This window comes from Homo sapiens, chromosome 2, assembly GCF_000001405.40.
Source record: "Homo sapiens chromosome 2, GRCh38.p14 Primary Assembly".
In the NCBI taxonomy this organism is placed as follows: Eukaryota; Metazoa; Chordata; class Mammalia; order Primates; family Hominidae; genus Homo; species Homo sapiens.
The window spans coordinates 97,709,222-97,728,960 of NC_000002.12; the positions used below are offsets into that span (position 1 = coordinate 97,709,222).

A 19,739-nucleotide genomic window follows, 5' to 3' on the forward strand; every position below is an offset into this window, starting at 1 on the left:
AGTCTTTTTTTTTTTTTTTTTTTTTTTTTTTTTTTTTTTGTGAGACGGAGTCTCACTCTGTCACCCAGGCTGGAGTGCAGTGGCGCAATTTCAGCTCACTGCAGGCTCCGTCTCCTGGGTTCACGCCATTCTCCTGCCTCAGCCTCCCGAGTAGCTGGGACTACAGGCGCCCGCCACCACGCCCGGCTAATTTTTTGTATTTTTAGTAGAGACGGAGTTTCACCGTTAGCCAGGATGGTCTCGATCTCCTGACCTTGTGATCTGCCTGCCTCAGCCTCCCAAAGTGCTGGGATTACAGGCGTGAGCCACCTTCAAGTCTTGATTCACAGGTTATCCCCTCCGAGGCATGCCCTGACTGGCTCAAAATTACATGCTCAAGACCTCGCCTACCCTTTCTGATTTATTTTACTCCTTAGCACCTGTAACCATGTGACATACTCTATGAAATATTTATCTATTTTGTTCATTCTCTGTCTCTCCCACTAGAATGTCAGCTCCATGAGGGAAGAGATTTTCATGTGCTGTTCACTGCGGATCCATAGAACAGAGTACCCGGAAAAGAGTCTGGCATAGAACGGGTGTTCAGTATTGAATAAATAAGTAGCCAGGGGTCTCAGGAGGTGGCAGTGCCATGGCAGTTTGAAGGCTTCCGAAGGAGCCATCCACTTGAGAAGCCCCCAGGGGAGAGCACAGCATGTGGCTGCTGTGGTCAAGCAATTCTTTTCTGACTTAAACCAGCTGGATTAATTTTTTTTATTTCAGGGCAGGGCGGTGGTCACTTTCAGCCTTCAGGGACGCCTGAGTTGTGCTTGGCAGCCTGCAATACTGGAGAGCTGCCCCTGGAGGGCGCAAGGGAATCCCGTTGCTGCACTCGGACGCGCAGTCACTAGACATGAGAGATGACGGTGGTGGTAGCAGTAATGGAGCATTTGCCTTTAGGCCTCTTTTAACTTTCACAACAGCCTACAAGACAGGTACCATTATCCCCGTTTCCTAAGGGAGGAAACCAAGGCGCAGAGAGGCTAAGTAACGTGCTCACGGTCCCTCAGGGTTAAGTGGCAGAACCAGAAAAGAACCAGAAGGAAAGGAGATACAAGTCACCATTTTTGGCCTGGCGCGGTGGCTCACGCCTGTAATCCCAGCACTTTGGGAGGCCGAGACGGGTGGATCACGAGGTCAGGAGATCGAGACCATCCTGGCTAACGGTGAAACTCCGTCTCTACTAAAAATACAAAAAATTAGCCGGGCGCGGTGGCGGGCGCCTGTGGTCCCAGCTGCTTGGGAGGCTGAGGGAGGAGAACGGCGTGAACCCGGGAGGCGGAGCTTGCAGTGAGCCGAGATAGCGCCACTGCAGTCCGGCCTGTGTGAAAGAGCGAGACTCCGTCTCAAAAAAAAAAAAAAAAAAAGTCACCATTTTTCTGTACACCCAGAGGGAATCCAGGAGGGGCCCTGGATGGACCTGTTTCCTTTGGGGCTCATTGCACTGGGGTGTATCTCCTCTCGGGCCTGCTGGAGCCTCCACCCTATCTCCCTGCTGCACGTCTCCCAGCAGTGGCTTGTGTTCTCTTAACTGTGCAGCCAGATTGGACCTGCTCAGCTCCAGGTGAAATGGACAGAAAGCCCATCCCTGCCCGGTCTGAGGATTGGGAAGCCTTCCTGGAGGAAAACACGCTTAATTGGAGACCTGAAAGAGGACTAGGAAATAGGCAGGTGAAGAGGTGTGGGCAAAGACCTGAGGATATGGGGGTGACTGATGAATTTCTTCGAGGCTCTTGGCATGAGTAGAGTGAATGTTTACCCCAACCCGATGAGGCAAAGGCACCGCAACTTTCCTAGCCCACATTTCCATCCGTTTGCCCTTTACTGTAAACATTCAAAAGATGCATCCACCTCCTTCCACTCTGGCAGAACAGAGGACCTTATCTGCATGCCAATCTCGGATTATCTGTAGCCCAATCTCAGAGCTGTCTGAGCACTGGGCTTTGTAGTTTCCAGACCAGCCTCTGGGACAGGAAGTGGGGGGCTCAAGGGTTGTAGGGCCAGTGCCTTGCAGAGGCTGGGAATCCCCTTCTCAGGACCTGAAGACCCTGGAAACTGGAAGCCCCCCACCCACACAGAGGCACCCTGTCCCATAGCTGGCTCAGCTTCCAGCTCCCTGGGGCGCTGGCCTCCTTCGGGGAGATATTTTACAACCAAAGTTTTCTTCTTTTATGTCCAGCAGCACGTGGGTGGGGTCAGGCTGCCTGGGCTGCAATCCCACCTGGCCACTTGGCATCTCTTAACCTCTCTGGGCTTTACTTACCTTATCTGGAAAATAGGTTGAATGGCTTATTAATTGTGATGTGCGTACAGCAATGTCTGGCACATAATCAGTGCGACTCTCATTATTGTAGTATGAATGTGATTTGATGCTGTAATTTCTCCTCTCTTCAGGGTGCCGGTGTCTTTTTCTCTCAATACTCCAAGAAATGAGCGTCCAGCATGGATGTGAAGGGATGCTTGCTGCACCTGGAGTTTCAAGATGCCGCTGGGGAAAAGGGAGGCTGCTAGCAAACACCATTTTGGAGGGGGCTGTATGAAGGAGAAAAGTAGCCTAGAGCCGGAACTCAGATTTTCTAAAGGGGATTCAGGCGGCCAGAGGATAGTAGAGGGCCAGAAAGGAGGTCCCCAAGGAGGCTTCGGGGTAGGGTGTGAGGGGATCCTCAGGCAGACTGGGGAGCTGAGCCTGTTGTAACCGAGCGAGTTACAGAGAAACGCCGCACTTTGAGACGAATTCAGGGGTCCTTTATTAGCTGGCGACTGAGAGACAGCTAGTGCTCAAAATTCTCTCAGCCCCAAAGAAGGGGCTTGATTTTCTTTTATACTTTGGTTTAGAAAGGACAGGTGGGGGTCTAAAACAATCTTACAGAAGTAAAGCAGGCAAAAAGTTAAAAGGATAAATGGTTACGGGAAAGCAAACAGTTCCAGGTGCAGGGGCTTAAAATCTATCACAAGGTGATAGACACGGGGCTTTGGGCGTTATCAACCGGACACAAACGCCGGGGCTCTGGGTGCTATTAACCGGGCGAATTCCTGGGAACTGCGGATATAGCTTGCCACAGTATCTTATCAGTTAATTGCATTCTTGGATGTGCTGGGAGTCAGCTTGCACAAATTAAGTCCTTGAGGAAGCGGGGTGGGTAAGGGGCTGCAAATGAAAGAGCCAAGATGGAGTCTGTCTGGCTCTCTTAGCTAAGGGAGAGTCAATTCAGGTTAAAACAAGGTAGGGTATCACAAGCCCACTTAACAAGGGCAGCAGGACCCCAAGAAGAAAAGCTTTAGGAGTCTCCACAGTGGGCCCAGGGCAGTTCCACACAGGTCTCTGAGGCCCCACAGACAGGAGAGCTGTGACGACTCCCTTAGTGCCCAAGAAAGCAAGGAGGTGGTGGGCAAGGGGCTCCCAGAGGCCTTGGGGCACTAGAGGGGAGATGGAGCCGAGGGAGTGGCTCTGCAGGCCCCTCTCTGAGAGAGTGCATGAGGTGTGGCCCCAGGCCCAAGGGTAGGGGGTGCACAGGGTGAGGGAAGGGAGGAGAGGAAGAGGAGGAGGAGGTGGTGGCCACAGCGGGATGGCACTCAGCCAGGTTCAGCTTCGTGGGAAAGGTCCCAGGTGGGCCGGGCTAGCACTGGGGATGCCCTGGCTCTGTGTCTCGGTTGGGTGGCTGACTCCTCCTGGAACGCATCCCTGACATCCTCCAGGCTGGCTTGGGGATACTCTGGGGACACACAGTGCCCAGGCTTCCGGCCTCCCAGCCCTGGCTCCCTGTGGACTCAGCTGCCCCCAACAAGCCTGCGAGCCACTGGAGAGCAAGGGCAGGCTGTCCTTGCCATCCAGATGCCTGGCACAGAAGGGGTTCTCACCTTCGGGGTATGGGCTGACTCAGTGGGTTTCTCCTCCCTCCAGCTCTAACCTGCCTGTGGAATAAACAAATCACTCCTCTGGGTTGTCTAGCTGGTGCAGGCCCCAGGGCGACGCCCCTTTGAGGGGAAAATGGGGGCATTCCAGTTTCCATGAGCCCTGGGACTCCCCTCCTTCCCACCACTGCTGCCTACCCTCCGGTTCCAGGTATGCAGGCTTCCTCCCTTCTGACGGTTCCTGCTGCTGGAGTCGTCCTTCCTGAAACCCTGCCTTTGCTTAGCCTCATTCCCATCTCTCAGTCCCATCCTGCAGCTGGGCAGGCAGTGCTGGGCCCCGGAAATGCCCTCTGCCTCCCTGGAGCACGTGGCCTGTGATTTTCCTTGAGCACAGCACTTTGTGACTTTGATGTAAACATCAAACACAGCCCCCTTTCCTGTCTTCGCATCCAGGAAATAGGTTAGTTTCAGACAAGCCTGCTTGCCGGAGCTCAGCAGACACCAGGCCTTCCGGGCAGGCCTGGCCCACCGTGGGCCTCAGAGCTGCTGCTGGGGCATTCAGGTAAGCGGCTGTCCTCGGGCCTTCTGCCTGTGTCCTGCCACCAGGGCCACCCCAGGGGGCTCTGGGAGACCTGGCAGAGGATGAACCCCCCCCATCCATGAGTGAGAAACCCTGGCGGGGTGTGACATCCTCCCCCGGGGTGTGTGCGGAGAGTGTGAGCGGCAGGGCCTCCCTCTCAGGCTGGGGGCTTGGGCTGCAGGGAAATCCAAACCGGCTTTGTAAGCCCCGATTCCTCACCCAGAACCGGCTCTCCATTGGCATTGGGACCAGAGACCCCGCAAGTGGCCTGTTTGCCTGGACATCCACCTGTACGTCCCCAGGTAAGTGGTGCCTGGGTGGAGTGGCACCTGGCCACCGTCTCCATGGTGGGCTGTGTCTGGAGGAGGAAGACAGAATATTAACTGGGAGTCAGGAGGTTGCTGGGAGGACCAGGAGAGCTGGAGGACTGGGCTGGGTGGTGACTGGCTGGAGATGGAGGCAGACGGGGCTTGTGGCCACGCTGAGGGAAGCAGCTCCCCCTCCAGAGGCTTGGCCGAGCGGGGCTGTTCAGGGGACACGGTGAGGCCTGCTCAGTCCCTGGGCTCCTGCTGGGCCCTGTTTGGCTGCATCCTTGGCTCTCGGAGGCAGAGAAACCTCCAGAGAAAGCGCATGTGCACTCTGTGAAGATGAGGGGGCTGCTCACCAGGGCCGTGAGCTCCATCAGCAGAATGCTGTGATTCCTGTGAGGAGTCCAGGGCAGGCTTGAGCCACTTGTAGGCGAGCTCAGGTTAGAGGAAGACCTGGAGAGAGAAAGAGCAAAACACCGAGTTCTCCTCAACTGCTGTGTGTTCTCGGCAAGTTGCTTGGCCTCTCTGACCTCAGTTTGTGCATCTGTTAAATGCACATGCAGATATGGGCACCTGGCAGGCGCCTGGTTCCTGACTGTTGGCGAGAGGCTGGGAAATGTGTCCCAGGTAGGAAGCATCCCCGACAGGAAGGAACAGGAGTTCATGAGGTGAGCAGCTCGAGATGATTCATTACTCTCGTCTTGGTTGGAACAGTAGGCAGACAGGAGGTGTTTAATAATGCCTTGCTGAGAGATCAGGGTCAGGGACTCCTAAGGTGCCACCTGTGAAGCTGCCTCCTGCTGAATCCAGAGCTTCCTTTTCCTCTTCACACCTGCCCTCCATCCTCAGCCCCACTGCCCTGGCAGTGTTGCGGGGGTGGTGTTGATGTGCACACTCTGGAGCCTGGGGGCCTGGCTTCACATTCTGGCTCTGCCACTCACCAGCTGTGTGACTGGACCAGTCACCGCATCTCTCTGTGCTTCCCTCCCAGGGCTCTCGGGAGGATAAAGAGAGTGACTGTATCCACACTGCCCGGCACATACAGGTGCTGCAGAAAGGTCTCACTAAAACCCTCATTATCCTCACTAGCTCTGGGTGGCCTCGGGCTCTGGACTCCACAGTTCCTGTATGCTCTCCGGGGCTGCAGCACCCAGACCACCCCGTGCTGACCACTCCCTGCCCCACCCCAAGGTACAGGGTTAAGGCAGCCATTCTCATCAGAGCCAATTTTACCTCCTCCCGTCTCCCTGGGACAGTTGATAGTGCCTGGAGACAGTTTGGGTTGTGACCCAGCGGGTGTTACTGGCATCCAGCATGTCCAGGACAGGAATCCTGTGAACAGCCTACAAGGCCCAGGACAGTCCCACCCTGTTCCATTGTCTCTATCAGCCCCTATCCTCCTGACTCACACCGCCTTTTCCCATCTCCCTTTTACAGTCACAGAGCCTGAGGCCCAGAGAGGGACCGCTGCTTGCTGAGGTCACACAGGCAGTGGAGGCCGGAGTTGGGGGCCTCACTGGAGGGGCGGTGGAAGGGCATTGTTCAATCAACAGACACTTGGAGAGTGTGCTGGGTTGGGGAATCTGACCCTGACCCCGCACCAGCCCAGCTCTCCAGGGTCTCCTAATAGACATTTGCTGGAGTGGTTAGTGCTGGCTGCTGCATTGGACAGACCTGAGTTCAAATCCTGGTGGCCCCTTGCAGGCTGCATGTTCTGAGAGTGACATTGACCTCTCCGAGCCTCAGTTTCTTTAGCTGAGGAGTGGGATAACAGTTCCCACCAAATGTAGTTGTGGTGAGAATTAGAATAAATGGCTAATGCTCGCAAAGGGTAGTGCAGTCCCCAGCACAGAGGCTGTTGTGATTGTCCTTACACACTTGACAAATATTTGTGGGGAGGAAGCAGGAGCTTCCATAGAAAACAAGACAGAGCCGTGGGCCCTGCCTCGGGGAGCTCAGCCTGGTGAGGGACTGAGGAGCAGAGACAGAGGCCATCAGGGCTGTGATGTGGGAGGATGGGGACCCTGGAAGCCTAGGGGAGGTGCCTGACCCAGGCTGGGGAGGGGGCAGGGCTCATGGAATGCTTCTGGGAGGATGGGACAACGGAGGAGGCCTGAAGCCGGAGGCCCAGTAGAAGGATGCAGCGCAGTTCTGGGCTGAGGGAATAGCCTGTGGCCAGGATCCTCAGGATGGGCCCCTCCTCTCCCGCCATCCTCCACCCAAGGAAGCCCCTGTGGCCCCTCACCCCTTCCCAGGTGTCAGGTTCCACCGGTGCTCAGAGGCATCCCCACCCATCCCAGTGGACTGCAGACCTTTGTAGGTACCTGGTATATTGAGCACCTCCTCTGTGCCATGCTGGTATAGGTAGGAGAACAAGACAAAGGCTCCACTCCCGTGGTGCTTACATTCTGGCAGGGACAAAGGTACTATGTCACCAATAGATACAATATCATCTTTTAGGTGGTGAAGAACAACAAAGCTGGGTCAGGGCTAGAGAGAGAAGGAGAGGCTATTTTGGAGAGGGAGGTCAGGGAAGGCCTCCTGGAGGAGGTGACTTAGGCAGAGACCTGAATAAAGTGGAAGGTGTTGGAGGAAGAGTCTCCAGGCAGAGGGAACAGACAGTACAAAGGCCCTGAGGCTGCACCATGCCTGGTTTGTCCGAGGGACCTGAACGAATAACATGAGGAGGCCCGTGTGGCTGGAGGGGAGTGAGTGGCGGGGGGTGGTGATGGGCATCATGAAGGGCCTTGGGGGCCACCCTGAGGACTTGCATTTTCACCCCGAGTGAGGTGGGAGCCTAGAGGGCTTCAAGCAGAGAAGAGGATGTGATGGCATGACGGGGGCCAGCAAGTCTCACCCCAGGGAGTCCCTGCAGCCCCAGTGCTGGACACCTTCACTGGCCCTGCTTTCCGGAGGAGGTCTGGCGAGCTTCACTCGCTGCTGAGGCTGCACTGTGACCATGTGGTGGGTCCACGATTCCATGATTTGAATCCAATCCCTGCAGTCAGGAAAGACATATGAAGGAGGAGCCTGCAGCCATGGCTAACTGCGGCTGTGTGGCTCATGGCGTCACCAAGCTGGCGTGTGCTGACGACCAGTGCCTATGCTGCCTCTGTTGGTGGGCACAGGCGGCCCGAGCACAGCTGGGGGATTAAGGAGCAGGGAACATGGCTTCAGAGGGACTTAGGGTCTCAGGTGAGGACTAGGGGTTCAGAGAGAGAGAGCCAGGAGCTGGAGTGGGAACAGGGTGGTGGGGGGGCAGTAGGAGGAGGTGGGGCGGTGAGGGGCTGGGGCCCTGCTCCTGCAGAGCCTTGGATGGGGACATGTCAAGCCTCTGGCTGGGGGGACATGCGGAGCCTCTGGCTGGGGAGACATGCGGAGCCTCTGGCTGGGGGGACATGCGGAGCCTCTGAGCCTCTGGCTGGGGTGACATGTGGAGCCTCTGGCTGGGGGGACACGAGGAGCCTCTGAGCCTCTGGCTGGGGGGACACGTGGAGCCTCTGGCTGGGGGGACATGTGGAGCTTGTGCTGCTCCTGCCCGCTCCCACCAGGTCCAGTGGCTTTGGTGTGATACCTCTGCTCTGACGATGGGCATGTAATGGGGGCTTCTGATGCCCAGGGAATGTTCTGTGAAACAGTAGACCTTCAAGGCTTTGCTGAATAGGTGTGGGAATTAAGTGACGCTGAAAGAGGTCCTTCCATGTGGTCTTCTCGGAGCCTTTAATGTGCTTTTCACAGCATTTGAAACTGTATTTGACCCCTTGACTCTTTTTTCCTTTGAAGCATGTTTGGGGAATCTGATCTCTCTGGAACAGCTGTAATCTAGCACTGCCTTTACCCAGGGAGGCTGGGTGAATGGTGGGATTCCAGGCAGGTCCTTCTGACCAGGCTCCAAGGCTTCCTCCCATCATCCTCCCAGGGCCTGGGCTGTGAGTGTGGGGCAGGTGCCCCGTGGCTGCTCTGCTGTGATCTCTGTGCTGTGATCCAGGGGCTGTAAGTTCTGGGAAGGCCAAACTAGGATCTCTGAACTGTGAGCTCAAGAGGAAGCTGACTGGGGTCAGCCTAGGGAGAACCATAGGCCAGGCTTGGGGAATGAACAGGCTCACTGGGGACTGAGGGACGCGGCTCCTAACCCAAGTCCTGTCCGTCGGGATGGCCCAGGCAGGTCGAGGGCTGGGGTGGGTCTCATGGTGGGTGTGTCTTCTGGGAGGGCCACGAGTCTGCAGGGACACAGCTGAGAACAGAAACATTTGATCCCCTGCCTGGGGTCTGGGGTCACCCCGGGGAGCTCTAGATCGGTGCAGCTCACTGACAGCAGACACTCCGGCTAGCCGCTGCGTGGCAAATGCTCCCACCTCTTGCCCCCGGACTTTTCATCTCTGCCACCTCTGCCCACCTTCTCTGGCCTCCCCAGCATCTCTGGCCATGGGGTCCCTGGGAACTTGGGCCCCATGTTTTACTAGTGAGGACAGTCCAGAAAGGCCCCAGGGGTGGAAGAGGAGGCGCCCACCACCCGACCTGTGTGTGTGGGGTGGTGCTTGTGATTACCGTTGTCCTTGTGGGCAGTGGGACAGGGAAGCTGGGACGCAGCCGAGATGCACAGGAAGAGAGCCTGCCTCTGGGACTCCTTAGCCTCGGGTCATGGATGGCAGCCCTGGGCTGGGCACTGAGCCTCCCTCATCTCCTCTTCTGCCCTAACCCACTTCTAGCTACCCAGGCTGCACCTGCGGCCACGTGGGGAGGAGCTTCTCAAACTGTGTTGGCGACAGTTTCCTGCCACAGCTTCCTGCCCCAGAGACCAGCTTTGCTACTCTGCACCCATGGTCCTTGGACAAGCCCTCAGTTTTCTGCCTCATCCTGCATCCTCATGCTTTATGGGAGTGGCTCCATGAGTCTTCAAGGATGGGCTGGCTGGGTTGGAGAAGATGGAGGGGAGAGGGAAGGGTGCACTAGGTGGAGGGTGCTGTGTGGATGAAAGTATGAACATCCATTTGAAGGAAGGCAAGTAGCACAGCTCAGCTGGGGCAGAGGGCTGGGGAGATCCAATGCAGTAGCCATTAGGGTCTTGAGCAAGGGAGGCCTTGGGGAAGAATTGCCAAGGAGCAACTTGCAGACTCTGGGGCTCAGCTCTGTGGAAATAGACTGTGAGGTTCAGCCAGCCACAGGCAGCATGAGCATGCCATCTGGATCTTAGGTTGGTTGTATTAATGGAAACAGTTGGTGGAGATCAAAGGAGATGATGCCAGCACCAACCGACCTCAGTCGGGCGAGAGATCTGGGCTCTGGGAGAGGTGGGTGTGGCAGCATGTACAGCTACTGACAGGATGACCCAAGTAAGGGGACGGGGGTGGGGGAAGGAGAGTGAGCAGGATGGTCAGAGGGCAGAGGCAAGCCAGGGAGTTTGTGAAGGACCAGAGAGGTCTGTGGGGCTCAAGCAGGAGGGAGGAGTCATAGGTGTCGGCCATTCAGGGGGCCCAGGATTGAGGAGGTCACAGAGTGCTTGTCTGGTGCCTACAGACTGCCAGGGGTGCTATCAGTGCTGGAGAACAGCCTGGGGGGGGGGCGCAGACCAGGTCTGGCTGAGAGGCTGGGAGTCAAGGACATAGGGACAGGAGTGTAGACAGCCCTTAATCACTTTTCCTATTTTCATTAGCATTTTTAGTGTCCATTGTGTCTGTATCTTCCAGTTCCTTTCCCCCTTAATTAAAAATTTGGGGTATAATTTACATGCAATAAAATTTTTATATCATTTTAGTGAAAAATTCTGAGATTTGACAAATGCATACAGCCCAGAGACTACCACCACATCAATCAAGATACAGACTATTCCCCCAAATTCCGTCCTGCCCTCTGTCGTCACTCCTTCTCCGGCCCCCAGCACCCAGCAACCTCTGGTGCGTTTTCCGTCCCTATAGTTGTGTGTGGAATCACACAATTCGTAGCCCTTGGAACCTGGTTTCTTTCATCCAGCCTGAGGCCTTTGCGATGCGTTTGCGGAACTGCGTGTCTCCGTATGCTGTTCCACTTACCGCGGAGTAGAATTCCACTGTAGGCATGTCCCACAGTGTATCTTATTCATCTGTTGGGAAACATGTAAGTTATTCCTAATTTTTGGCAACTGTGGCTAGTACGGCTATAAATGTTCCTGTGTAGGTTTTTGTGTGAATGTAAATTTCCATTTCTTTAGAGTGAATACCTAGGAGCCTTCATGGGTTTTTTTGTTTTGTTTTGTTTTGTTTTGTTTTGAGATGGAGTTTTGCTCTGTTGCCCAGGCTGGAGTGAAGTGGTGCGATCTCGGCTCACTGCAACTTCCACCTCCTGGGTTCAAGCGATTCTCCTGCCTCAGCCTCCTGAGGAGCTGGGACTACAGGCGCCCACCACCACGCCCGACTAATTTTTTTGTATTTTTAATAGAGACGGGGTTTCACCATGTTCGCCAGGCTAGTCTCAAACTCCTGACTTTAGGTGATCCGCCTGCCTCGGCCTCCCAAAGTGTGGGCCACCGGGCCCAGCCATTAATTTTTGTATCTTAATGGAGACGGGGTTTCACCATGTTGGCCAGGCTGGTCTCAGACTGCTGGCCCCATGTGATCCACCCGCCTTGATCTCCCAAAGTGCTGGGATTACAAGCGTGAGCCACTTCGCCCAGCCGCTTCATGACTTTTTAAAAACACTCTTGTGGAATGGTGACCTTTTTCTCCAGGTGGAGCCACAAATGCAGTCCCTTATGAATCTCTGGAACACCCACCTGTCTGTAACTGTTGGGACATCCAGGACCCCCCTCAAGCTTGGCCCTCCCAACCTCACTGTCACAATCAATCGGGTTACAGTGCAGATCCTGGCCCCTCCTCTAGCTACTCTGACCCAGACTTCACCTGATTCCCATTCCAGTACCTTCCTTTCAGCTCCAGAGCCCATCTCTGGACACCCAGGGCAGAGGGAGCTTTCACAAAAGCATTCATTTTACCCCTTGGTTGCATTTGCATAACTAAGAAGGGCACTCAAAGTCAATTCTCCAATGCAAACTTATGCCTGAGTAGCCTTGCTGGGCCTATGTTAGTAGAGAAACAACTCAGAACCGCTATGGAGAGGTATTTTTTCCCAACATTCTATGAAAACTTACAAATATGCAGAAAATAGAAAGAATTAACTGTACACCAATAACTCACCTGCTAGATTCTCCAGTTTATGATTTGCTATAATTGCTTTATCACATACAGTTGATCAACACTGCGGAGTTCTTATTTGTGAGTTTGCCTACTTGTTAAATTTATCTGAAACCCTAAAACCAACATGGCACTTTTGTGGTCATTCTCAGACATACAGAGTGGCAAAAATATGAATCACTCGATACACATTTTCCCACCGAGGCTGCACAAGGCAAACACTCTCATGCTGCAGATAAGTGTCTTTTTCATGTTCTTTTTTTTTGAGACAGAGTCTCACTCTGTCGCCCAGGCTGGAGTGCAATGGCGTGACCTCAGCTCACTGCAAGCTCTGCCTCCTGGGTTCATGTCATTCTTCTGCCTTGGCCTCCCGAGTAGCTGGGACTACAGGCGCCCGCCACCATGGCTGGCTGATTTTTTTTTTTTTTTTTTTTTTTTTGTATTTTTAGTAGAGACAGGGTTTCACTGTGTTAGCCAGGATGGTCTTGGTCTCCTGACCTTGTGATCCACCCGCCTCGGCCTCCCATAATGCTGGATTAGAGGCGTGAGCCACCGCAGCCGGCCAATCTTTTTCATGTTCTATTTGGTGGTGCCACATATTTTGTTTTTTTATTTTATCTTTTTTTTTTTTGAGATTGCTGTCTCGCACTGTCGCCCCAGCTGGAGTGCAGTGGCAGTGGCGCGATCTCAGCTCACTGCAACCTCCGCCTCCCAGGTTCAAGCAATTCTGCTTCAGCCTCCCGAGTAGCTGGAATTACAGGCACCTGCCACCATGCCCGGCTAATTTTTTGTATTTTTAGTAGAGACGGGGTTTCACTGTGTTGGCCAAGATGGTCTCGAATGCCTGACCTTGTGATCCACCTGCCTTGGCCTCCCAAAGTGCTGGGATTACAGGCGTGAGCCACCACGCTCGGCCTATTTTATCTTTTTAAAGACAGAGTTTCGCGCTTGTTGCCCAGGCTGGAGTGCAGTGGCCTGATCTCGGCTCAATGGAATCTCCGCCTCTTGGGTTCACGAGGTTCTCCTGCCTCAGCCTCCCAAGTAGCTGGGATTACAGGTGCCCGCCACCACCTCTGGCTAATTTTTTGTATTTATGGTGGAGACGGGGTTTCACCATGTTAGCCAGGCTGGTCTCGAACTGCTGGTCTCAAGTGATCCACCCGCCTTGGCCTCCCAAAGTGCTGGATGACAGGCATGAGCCGTTGCACTCGGCCTCACATATTTTGAATGTTTGTGCTTTTTGTTGGTGATTTCAGTGGTTGACATGGCCCCCAACCATAGTGCTGAAATGCTATCTAGCATTCCTAAGGGCAAGAATGCTGTATGTGCCTTATGGAGAAAACATGTCAGATAAGCTTATAGTTATAGTGCTGTTGGCTAAGAGTTCAATGTTAGTGAATCAACCATGTCTATTAAATAAGGTGCCTTTAAACAGAAACTCACAAAAAAACAAGGTTATGTCTTGATCAGTTGATGAAAATGTAAACAGTTTCCTAGGAACCTAACTCTGTATTTCCCCTAGGAGGGATAGTTCTATATTGCTAATTCAGTGTTTTCGTTGACTTTATAGAACTGCAGAGAATGACAGAAATCAACTGTGTCTATCTGGCTGTCTATCCTTTTATCCATCCCTCTCGCTCTGTTCGTCCATCGGTCAGTGTTATTTTTGGGATGCTCTCAAATTAGATTACAGTCCTCAGTTCCCATCACTCCTAAACATTTCTGCAAGCAGATCGTTACCTAGGGTTCAATATTTTATGTTTCTTTTTTAATTGAGGGAGGGCAAATACAATGGAATGAACACATCTTAAGTGTACATTCTCTTAGTTTTCGGAAAATCAGACACTTGCATAACCCAAGCCCTGTGAATATACAGGACGTCACCATCACCCCAGAAAGTTGAGGGCAGGCAATTTTAAGTTATCTGCCTTACCAGATATCCATCTGTCTAAATAGCCTTAATTCCTCCTCCCCTCAATCACACGTTTTGTTTAATAGCTGTATCAGAGTTCACTTTGAGATTAAACCCTAATGCATTTAACCAGTCCCCTAGGGATGGATATTCCAATTAGCGTATGCTCTGTAGAAACTTGCCAAGGAAGGCAGAGGGCAGGGCGAGGGGTGCCTGCTAAGGCCGAGGGGAAAGGGTCAGCGGAAGGGACAAGGGAGGCTGAGGGGTAGGGCCCTTGGGTGAGCAAAGCTGGGTGCGGCCTCAGGGCCTCTGCGCATGCAGTCCTCTCTGCCTGATGCGCTGTCCCGCGCGCTTTTTGAAAAGTTGGCTCCTCCTCCTTCAGCTCTCCCTTCAAATGCTAGCTCCTTGGAGAAGGTGACCATCCTAGCTAGAGCCACCTCTTCTCTCTCTTAATGTCACTCCACTTATTTCCTTTGTAATGCTGACCTCAATCTGTAATTATTATTTTTGTTTCTTTCTCAGTTTATCTCACGGCTCTCCCTCCTTAGAGTGTTGCCTTCGGGAGGACGGGGTGGGACCGCGCCTGCCTCAAGCGTGCATATCCCCAGCACCGGGCCTGAAACACAATAATTCAGCACGTGGTTGGGACATGAAGAGATGGGTACAGGTGTGGGTGCTTGGGGACCAGTTGGCGTGCTTGGGCGTCCACATAATGTCTCTGGAAAGTCAGATGGGGGTTTGGGACTTCTCGATCTGTGCCCAGCAGGCTGCGGCTTCTCTCCAGGTTGACTCTGGCACAGAGCAGGCTCTGCCCCCTTGGCGAGCTCAGTCTGCGGCACTGATGCCCTCCACTTGGCGTCTCTCGCGCCGTCTTTGGGCCCAACGCACCAGGTTCAGGAAGGCCCTGACGTGCCTCCGACCCTCTGTGAACCCGCAGGTTTCGGGAGGCCCAGGGGCGATGCCAGACCCCGCGGCGCACCTGCCCTTCTTCTACGGCAGCATCTCGCGTGCCGAGGCCGAGGAGCACCTGAAGCTGGCGGGCATGGCGGACGGGCTCTTCCTGCTGCGCCAGTGCCTGCGCTCGCTGGGCGGCTATGTGCTGTCGCTCGTGCACGATGTGCGCTTCCACCACTTTCCCATCGAGCGCCAGCTCAACGGCACCTACGCCATTGCCGGCGGCAAAGCGCACTGTGGACCGGCAGAGCTCTGCGAGTTCTACTCGCGCGACCCCGACGGGCTGCCCTGCAACCTGCGCAAGCCGTGCAACCGGCCGTCGGGCCTCGAGCCGCAGCCGGGGGTCTTCGACTGCCTGCGAGACGCCATGGTGCGTGACTACGTGCGCCAGACGTGGAAGCTGGAGGTGAGAGCGCAGCCTGGGGCGCGGGGTCTGGAGGGGCGTGGCCGAAGAGGGGCAGTCGAGGGTTTTGGGGGGATAGGAGGGAGGAAAAGGTCGTCTTCCCCATTCAGTCCCCTTTGGAAGCTGGAGAGGTGGGGCACTGGTTGGGGAAGAACCTGAAAGGAGGCCTCAGAGGCAGGGGCTCCGTGGTGGCGGTCGCCTTCCGCAGGCTGAGCGATGCTATGGTGCTCTACTATGCCAGATGGGAAGGTAGAGGGACGCACTGGGCCGGGCGAAGGCGAGGCTTGGAATGGGGGCGGGGCTGAGAGGAGGGTGCGCGGGGCTAGGGTGAGCCCTTAGGGTAGGGTGGCTGTTGGGGAAGATGGGCAGTAGTCGTCCACAGCCTGAGTGACACCACCATGCACAACTACCTGAATTAGGTCTTCAAGCTGGAGATGCGCTTGGGGCCGCGCTGGAAGGTGGGGGTGGTTCCTCCCTAGCTGGATTGGGGAGGGGACCACGGAGATGGCGCGGAGGTAGTCCTCGAAAACCTGCCTAACACGCGCTAGGGACGCCTGGGTGGGGTGGGGAGTCCTCTGGGACAGGGCTCCCGGAAGGGGGTTCCTGTGGCGAGCACTTGGCCACACCTACAGACCTCCTCGCCTCTCCTTTTCTAGGGCGAGGCCCTGGAGCAGGCCATCATCAGCCAGGCCCCGCAGGTGGAGAAGCTCATTGCTACGACGGCCCACGAGCGGATGCCCTGGTACCACAGCAGCCTGACGCGTGAGGAGGCCGAGCGCAAACTTTACTCTGGGGCGCAGACCGACGGCAAGTTCCTGTATGTGGGGCCCGGGATTTGGGTGCGGTGAGGATTGGGGCTCGTTGGCAGGGATCCTGGGGACTGGGGCAGACGTGAGTGTGCAGTTGGGCCGTAAGGGTGTCCCTGTGCTCACATGTGCAAGTGGGTTGTGTGTTTCTGATGTGCAAAGGGACTTGCACATGGGGAAGTAGAGGTAGTGACTAGGAAAGCCTCCAGACTCGGTCCCTTGGCCTGGCTTGGAATCCCGCTTCCGCCACCTGCTGGCTGTGGCCCTTGGGCAAGTAGCGGACTGTGGTTGCCTGCCTCAGTTTCCCCTCCTTCAATCAACAAATATTTACTGAATACCTACTGTGTACCAGGCACTGAGCACACGGCAGTGAGCCAAAAAGACACAGTGCCTGTCCTCATGGGGCAGGTAGACAAGAAAAGGAATCAATAAAATAGAGACCCTGTCAGATGGTGGTAAGCGCCGTGTGTGCAGGTGGGGAGGCGGTTGCAATTTTAGATTAGGTGGTCAGAAGAGGCCTTCCTGAGAAGGTGACTTCTGAGGAAGGGAAAGAAGCTGAGGAGTGAGCTGTGCAGCTTTCAGGGGGAAGGGTGTTCCTGGAAAATGCAATGGCAAGTGCAAAGATCAGGAGGCAGGAGTCTATTTGGCGTGTTCCAGAAACATTGTGGAGGCCATGTGCCTGGAGCTGAGTAAGTGAGGGGGAGAATGGGAGGAGGTGAGGGCAGGGCGGGGACTTTAGCTTTTCCCCCAAGTGAGGTGGGATCCCCGGGAGAGTGTTGAAGCAGCCCCCTCTAACTGTCCTGTGGTTGACAGCAGTACCTCCCCTCAGGATCCTCTATGAGGATTACATGAATTAATACGTGTGAATCGAGAGTATGGTAACTGACATAGGAAAAATGCGGTAAATGTTAGCTTTTATATGTGGGTGAACGTGCGTGTCTGAGCCACAGCTGAGGCCATGTAGCTATTTGTGAGTTTGTTAATGTGAAAAAAATCTCTGAAAATCTCTTTTTAAAACTCTGCTGAGTGTTTGACAGCCCTGCTGGGGCTGTTGCTCTCTGGTTTGGACACGGGATCTTTTCTGTAACAGATGGTATCCAGGTGCAGCTGAGGTCACTCAGGCCTCAAGACACAGATAAATTGGTGCTGCCTCTTTCCCATGACCTCAGGAAGCCCAGTGTTTTCCCCCAAGAAATCTGTGGGGACAATTCTTGGGCCTTCCTTCTCGTGAGTGCTTCTTGGCCTGAGCCCCTGCCCAGCAGATCCCTTGGGTCATCTGCCTCCCCCAGGGCTGTTTCCTCTCCTGAGGTCAACCCACTTGGAGGAAATGACCACATCCCTTGATTTTCCTCACCCATGTGAAGTTTCTGTAGATTGCCTGCAGGCCTCTTGCAAGATGCAGCTCCCTCTCCAAGATTCTGTTGTGGGCTGATAAAATAACTCTTTTCACCCTACCATACAGATTCAGATTTAGGCTGTAAATTGGAGTGGAGTTTCCAAGGCTTCTGAGGGAGCTCTTAGATACATGTTGCACGTAATACTCAGTTGCCGGCACAACTTCTGAACAGGACAGGGCTGTTTTCTCTAAGAGGAAACCTTTGCATTTGTATCAGTTAGCTTTTGCTACATAACAAGCAGCCCTAAGATTTATTGGCTCAAAATGACAGTTTATTGCTCTTCATGATTCTGTGAGCTAACTAAGCAGTTCTGGTTTGGGTCATCTAGGCTGGGCCTGAATAGGCTGGGATGGCCACACTCACATGACTGGCCATTGGCTCAGTGTCACCTGGGTGATGGGGATGAGCTGGCCCAGTGCAGCCATCATCCAGCAAGCTAGCTGAAGCTTGTTTGTGTGGTGGTGGTGCAGGGTTCCCAAGATCAGTCAGAGAGGACAGGGCAAGTTCAAGCCTTTGTTTGTGTAATGTCACTGATGTCCTAATGGACAAAGCAAGTCATACGACCAAAACCAAAGTCACTGTAGGGAAGGGATTCCTTAAGGGAGAGGAATGCAGGGAGCCATTTTTGCAAACGGTTGGTCGTAGGATTGGATGAAGCAAGTTGTCGTGAAGGTATGGGCATTGTGAACATGGGTGTTGGGGGCTGTCTCTCTTTCCTTTTGGACTGTCAGCCTGAGGGCAGGGCCTGCCCTGCTGCATCTGGAGGGCTCCATCTTGCAGTACATGGTGATGGCTGGTCCAGGTATTACCCACCTTCCTCCAGATGTTGCATCACCCCACCCCAGGTGTGACCCTCGCCAAGATGTTAGTAATGTTTGCTCCCACGTTCTCACATGCTCATATCCCCCTCGTCCATTACATGCTACCCCAGGTGCCTGAGAGTCCAGGGGCTCTCCCCAGGCTGGACACGCGAAGAAGGCTCTAAACCCTTCCTATTGATGTAGCTGATTCTTTCCTTCCGTCTCTGCTTTCTCTTTCATAAAATGTAAATTCATCTGTCTTCTTTGATTTTATAATCTGAGTTTCTTCTCTGTTTTCCCCCTACATCCCCAATGTAGCTTTTCATCCCCACCATCTCTGCCTCTCTTCTGTCTCAGTTTTCCTTTCTTCTTCTCTCTTTCCCTCCCCACCCCCATCTCTCTTCCTCATCTTGCACTCACACACACACATACAGGTCATGATTCTGCCACTCCAATGGCTTAAAAATTTCCCCCAGATTCCCTAAAGCCTCCTGAGAGTGGCAGAGGATTCTAGGGGGTGGGAGAGTGAGAGAAGGGTTGAGCAGGTGGGATTTGGGCCCCTGTTCCAGCTTGAATGACGACAGCCGCTCAGCTTTGATCTGTTTGCTATCTTAGGCTTCCACACACAATGTTGTGTGGCAGAGGTTTCACTGCCCAAAGGAAAAGTTCAAACAGTTTTTGTGTAACACAGCAGAGCTCATGACAGGCTTAGAGTCAACCAGTCTGCTGAGATTAGAGGAGTCTCAGGAGAGCCAGGGCCAACAGCTTTAAGCAGCTGTCTGTGCATTGCATATCAAACTGGCGTGCAGTCTCCCAGGCAAATAGGACAAGCGTTGGCGGTGGGAGGGTGTGGCTAGGAAGGAGAGATGCCCAGCATCTGGGCACAGCATAGAGCGTGTGGCTGGCAGTGAGGTCCACAGCTGGCACAGTGGTATGAGGACAATGACTCATTCTGGGTAAACGTCAAGAGACGAAGCAGCTACAAAGAGCCAGGCTCCTGGAAAATTAGGCAAGGTACGCTTTGGACAGAAACTGTGAGAGCTTCTTCTTGTGGTTCCTGTAGTCTATAACTGCTTTCTCAGGGCTTGGGGTGTGAGAGAAAGACACGTGCTACTCAGGCCTAGAGTGAAGACCAGGACCACGCCTACCATTGATCACAGTTCATGGTTGCCGAAGAACAGATTTAATTGTACCCAGGGCTGTGCACTGCCAATGCTGGCTTGTTTCTGTGTTATTGGCAGCAATTTTATGGAACCGGCTGATTCGACTTTAAAAGAAACTTGTCCTGGAAAGGGCCTTTAAGAGAGTACATTGTCAAGTGTTTCTTTTTTTGAGACAGAGTCTTGCTCTGTCACCCAGGCTGGAGCACAGTGGTGCAATCTTCGCTCACTGCAACCTCTGCCTCCCGGGTTTAGTGATTCTTCTGCCTCAGCCTCCCTGAGTAGCTGGGACTATAGGCGTGCACCACCACGCTTGGCTAATTTTTGTATTTTCAGTAGAGACAGGGTTTTGCCATGTTGGC

At 54.0% G+C, this 19,739-nt stretch overlaps 1 protein-coding gene across 7 annotated transcripts in view, besides 6 other annotated features; it reads left to right on the top strand.

Moving 5' to 3' along the window:
* Positions 2,000-2,189: a silencer, noted in NCBI's record as "fragment chr2:98327684-98327873 (GRCh37/hg19 assembly coordinates)". NCBI's record gives its function as "represses an EF-1alpha promoter that drives an FKBP-Casp9 reporter gene in an ReSE screen in K562 erythroleukemia cells {active_cell/tissue: K562}" and the evidence as "EXISTENCE:reporter gene assay evidence [ECO:0000049][PMID:32094911]".
* Positions 4,163-5,136: an enhancer, noted in NCBI's record as "H3K27ac-H3K4me1 hESC enhancer chr2:98329847-98330820 (GRCh37/hg19 assembly coordinates)". NCBI's record gives its function as "activates a minimal SCP1, AML or CMV promoter by ChIP-STARR-seq in naive H9 embryonic stem cells {active_cell/tissue: H9 hESC(naive)}" and the evidence as "EXISTENCE:reporter gene assay evidence [ECO:0000049][PMID:30033119]".
* The window catches only part of ZAP70 (zeta chain of T cell receptor associated protein kinase 70), a 42,789-nt gene continuing 27,404 nt past the window's right edge, over positions 4,355-19,739 (top strand). For 6 of the 7 annotated variants that reach the window (XR_007081582.1, XR_007081583.1, XM_047445775.1 and 3 more), the window contains exons 1-4: positions 4,355-4,453; positions 4,695-4,773; positions 14,795-15,217; positions 15,871-16,031. Coding sequence is in view for 5 of the 7 variants with exons in the window: in XM_047445775.1 (XP_047301731.1) it covers positions 14,816-15,217; positions 15,871-16,031 (563 nt within the window). In the remaining 2 variants the exon portion in view is untranslated. Of the gene's footprint in view, positions 4,454-4,660; positions 4,774-14,794; positions 15,218-15,870; positions 16,032-19,739 lie in introns of those variants that run through there. The other variant, NM_001378594.1, reaches the window with a different exon arrangement.
* Positions 6,368-6,883: an enhancer, noted in NCBI's record as "H3K4me1 hESC enhancer chr2:98332052-98332567 (GRCh37/hg19 assembly coordinates)". NCBI's record gives its function as "activates a minimal SCP1, AML or CMV promoter by ChIP-STARR-seq in primed H9 embryonic stem cells {active_cell/tissue: H9 hESC(primed)}" and the evidence as "EXISTENCE:reporter gene assay evidence [ECO:0000049][PMID:30033119]".
* Positions 6,884-7,398: an enhancer, noted in NCBI's record as "H3K4me1 hESC enhancer chr2:98332568-98333082 (GRCh37/hg19 assembly coordinates)". NCBI's record gives its function as "activates a minimal SCP1, AML or CMV promoter by ChIP-STARR-seq in primed H9 embryonic stem cells {active_cell/tissue: H9 hESC(primed)}" and the evidence as "EXISTENCE:reporter gene assay evidence [ECO:0000049][PMID:30033119]".
* Positions 9,614-9,763: an enhancer, noted in NCBI's record as "active region_16242". NCBI's record gives its function as "activates an Ori minimal core promoter by ATAC-STARR-seq in GM12878 lymphoblastoid cells {active_cell/tissue: GM12878}" and the evidence as "EXISTENCE:reporter gene assay evidence [ECO:0000049][PMID:35858748]".
* Positions 15,052-15,642: an enhancer, noted in NCBI's record as "H3K4me1 hESC enhancer chr2:98340736-98341326 (GRCh37/hg19 assembly coordinates)". NCBI's record gives its function as "activates a minimal SCP1, AML or CMV promoter by ChIP-STARR-seq in naive H9 embryonic stem cells {active_cell/tissue: H9 hESC(naive)}" and the evidence as "EXISTENCE:reporter gene assay evidence [ECO:0000049][PMID:30033119]".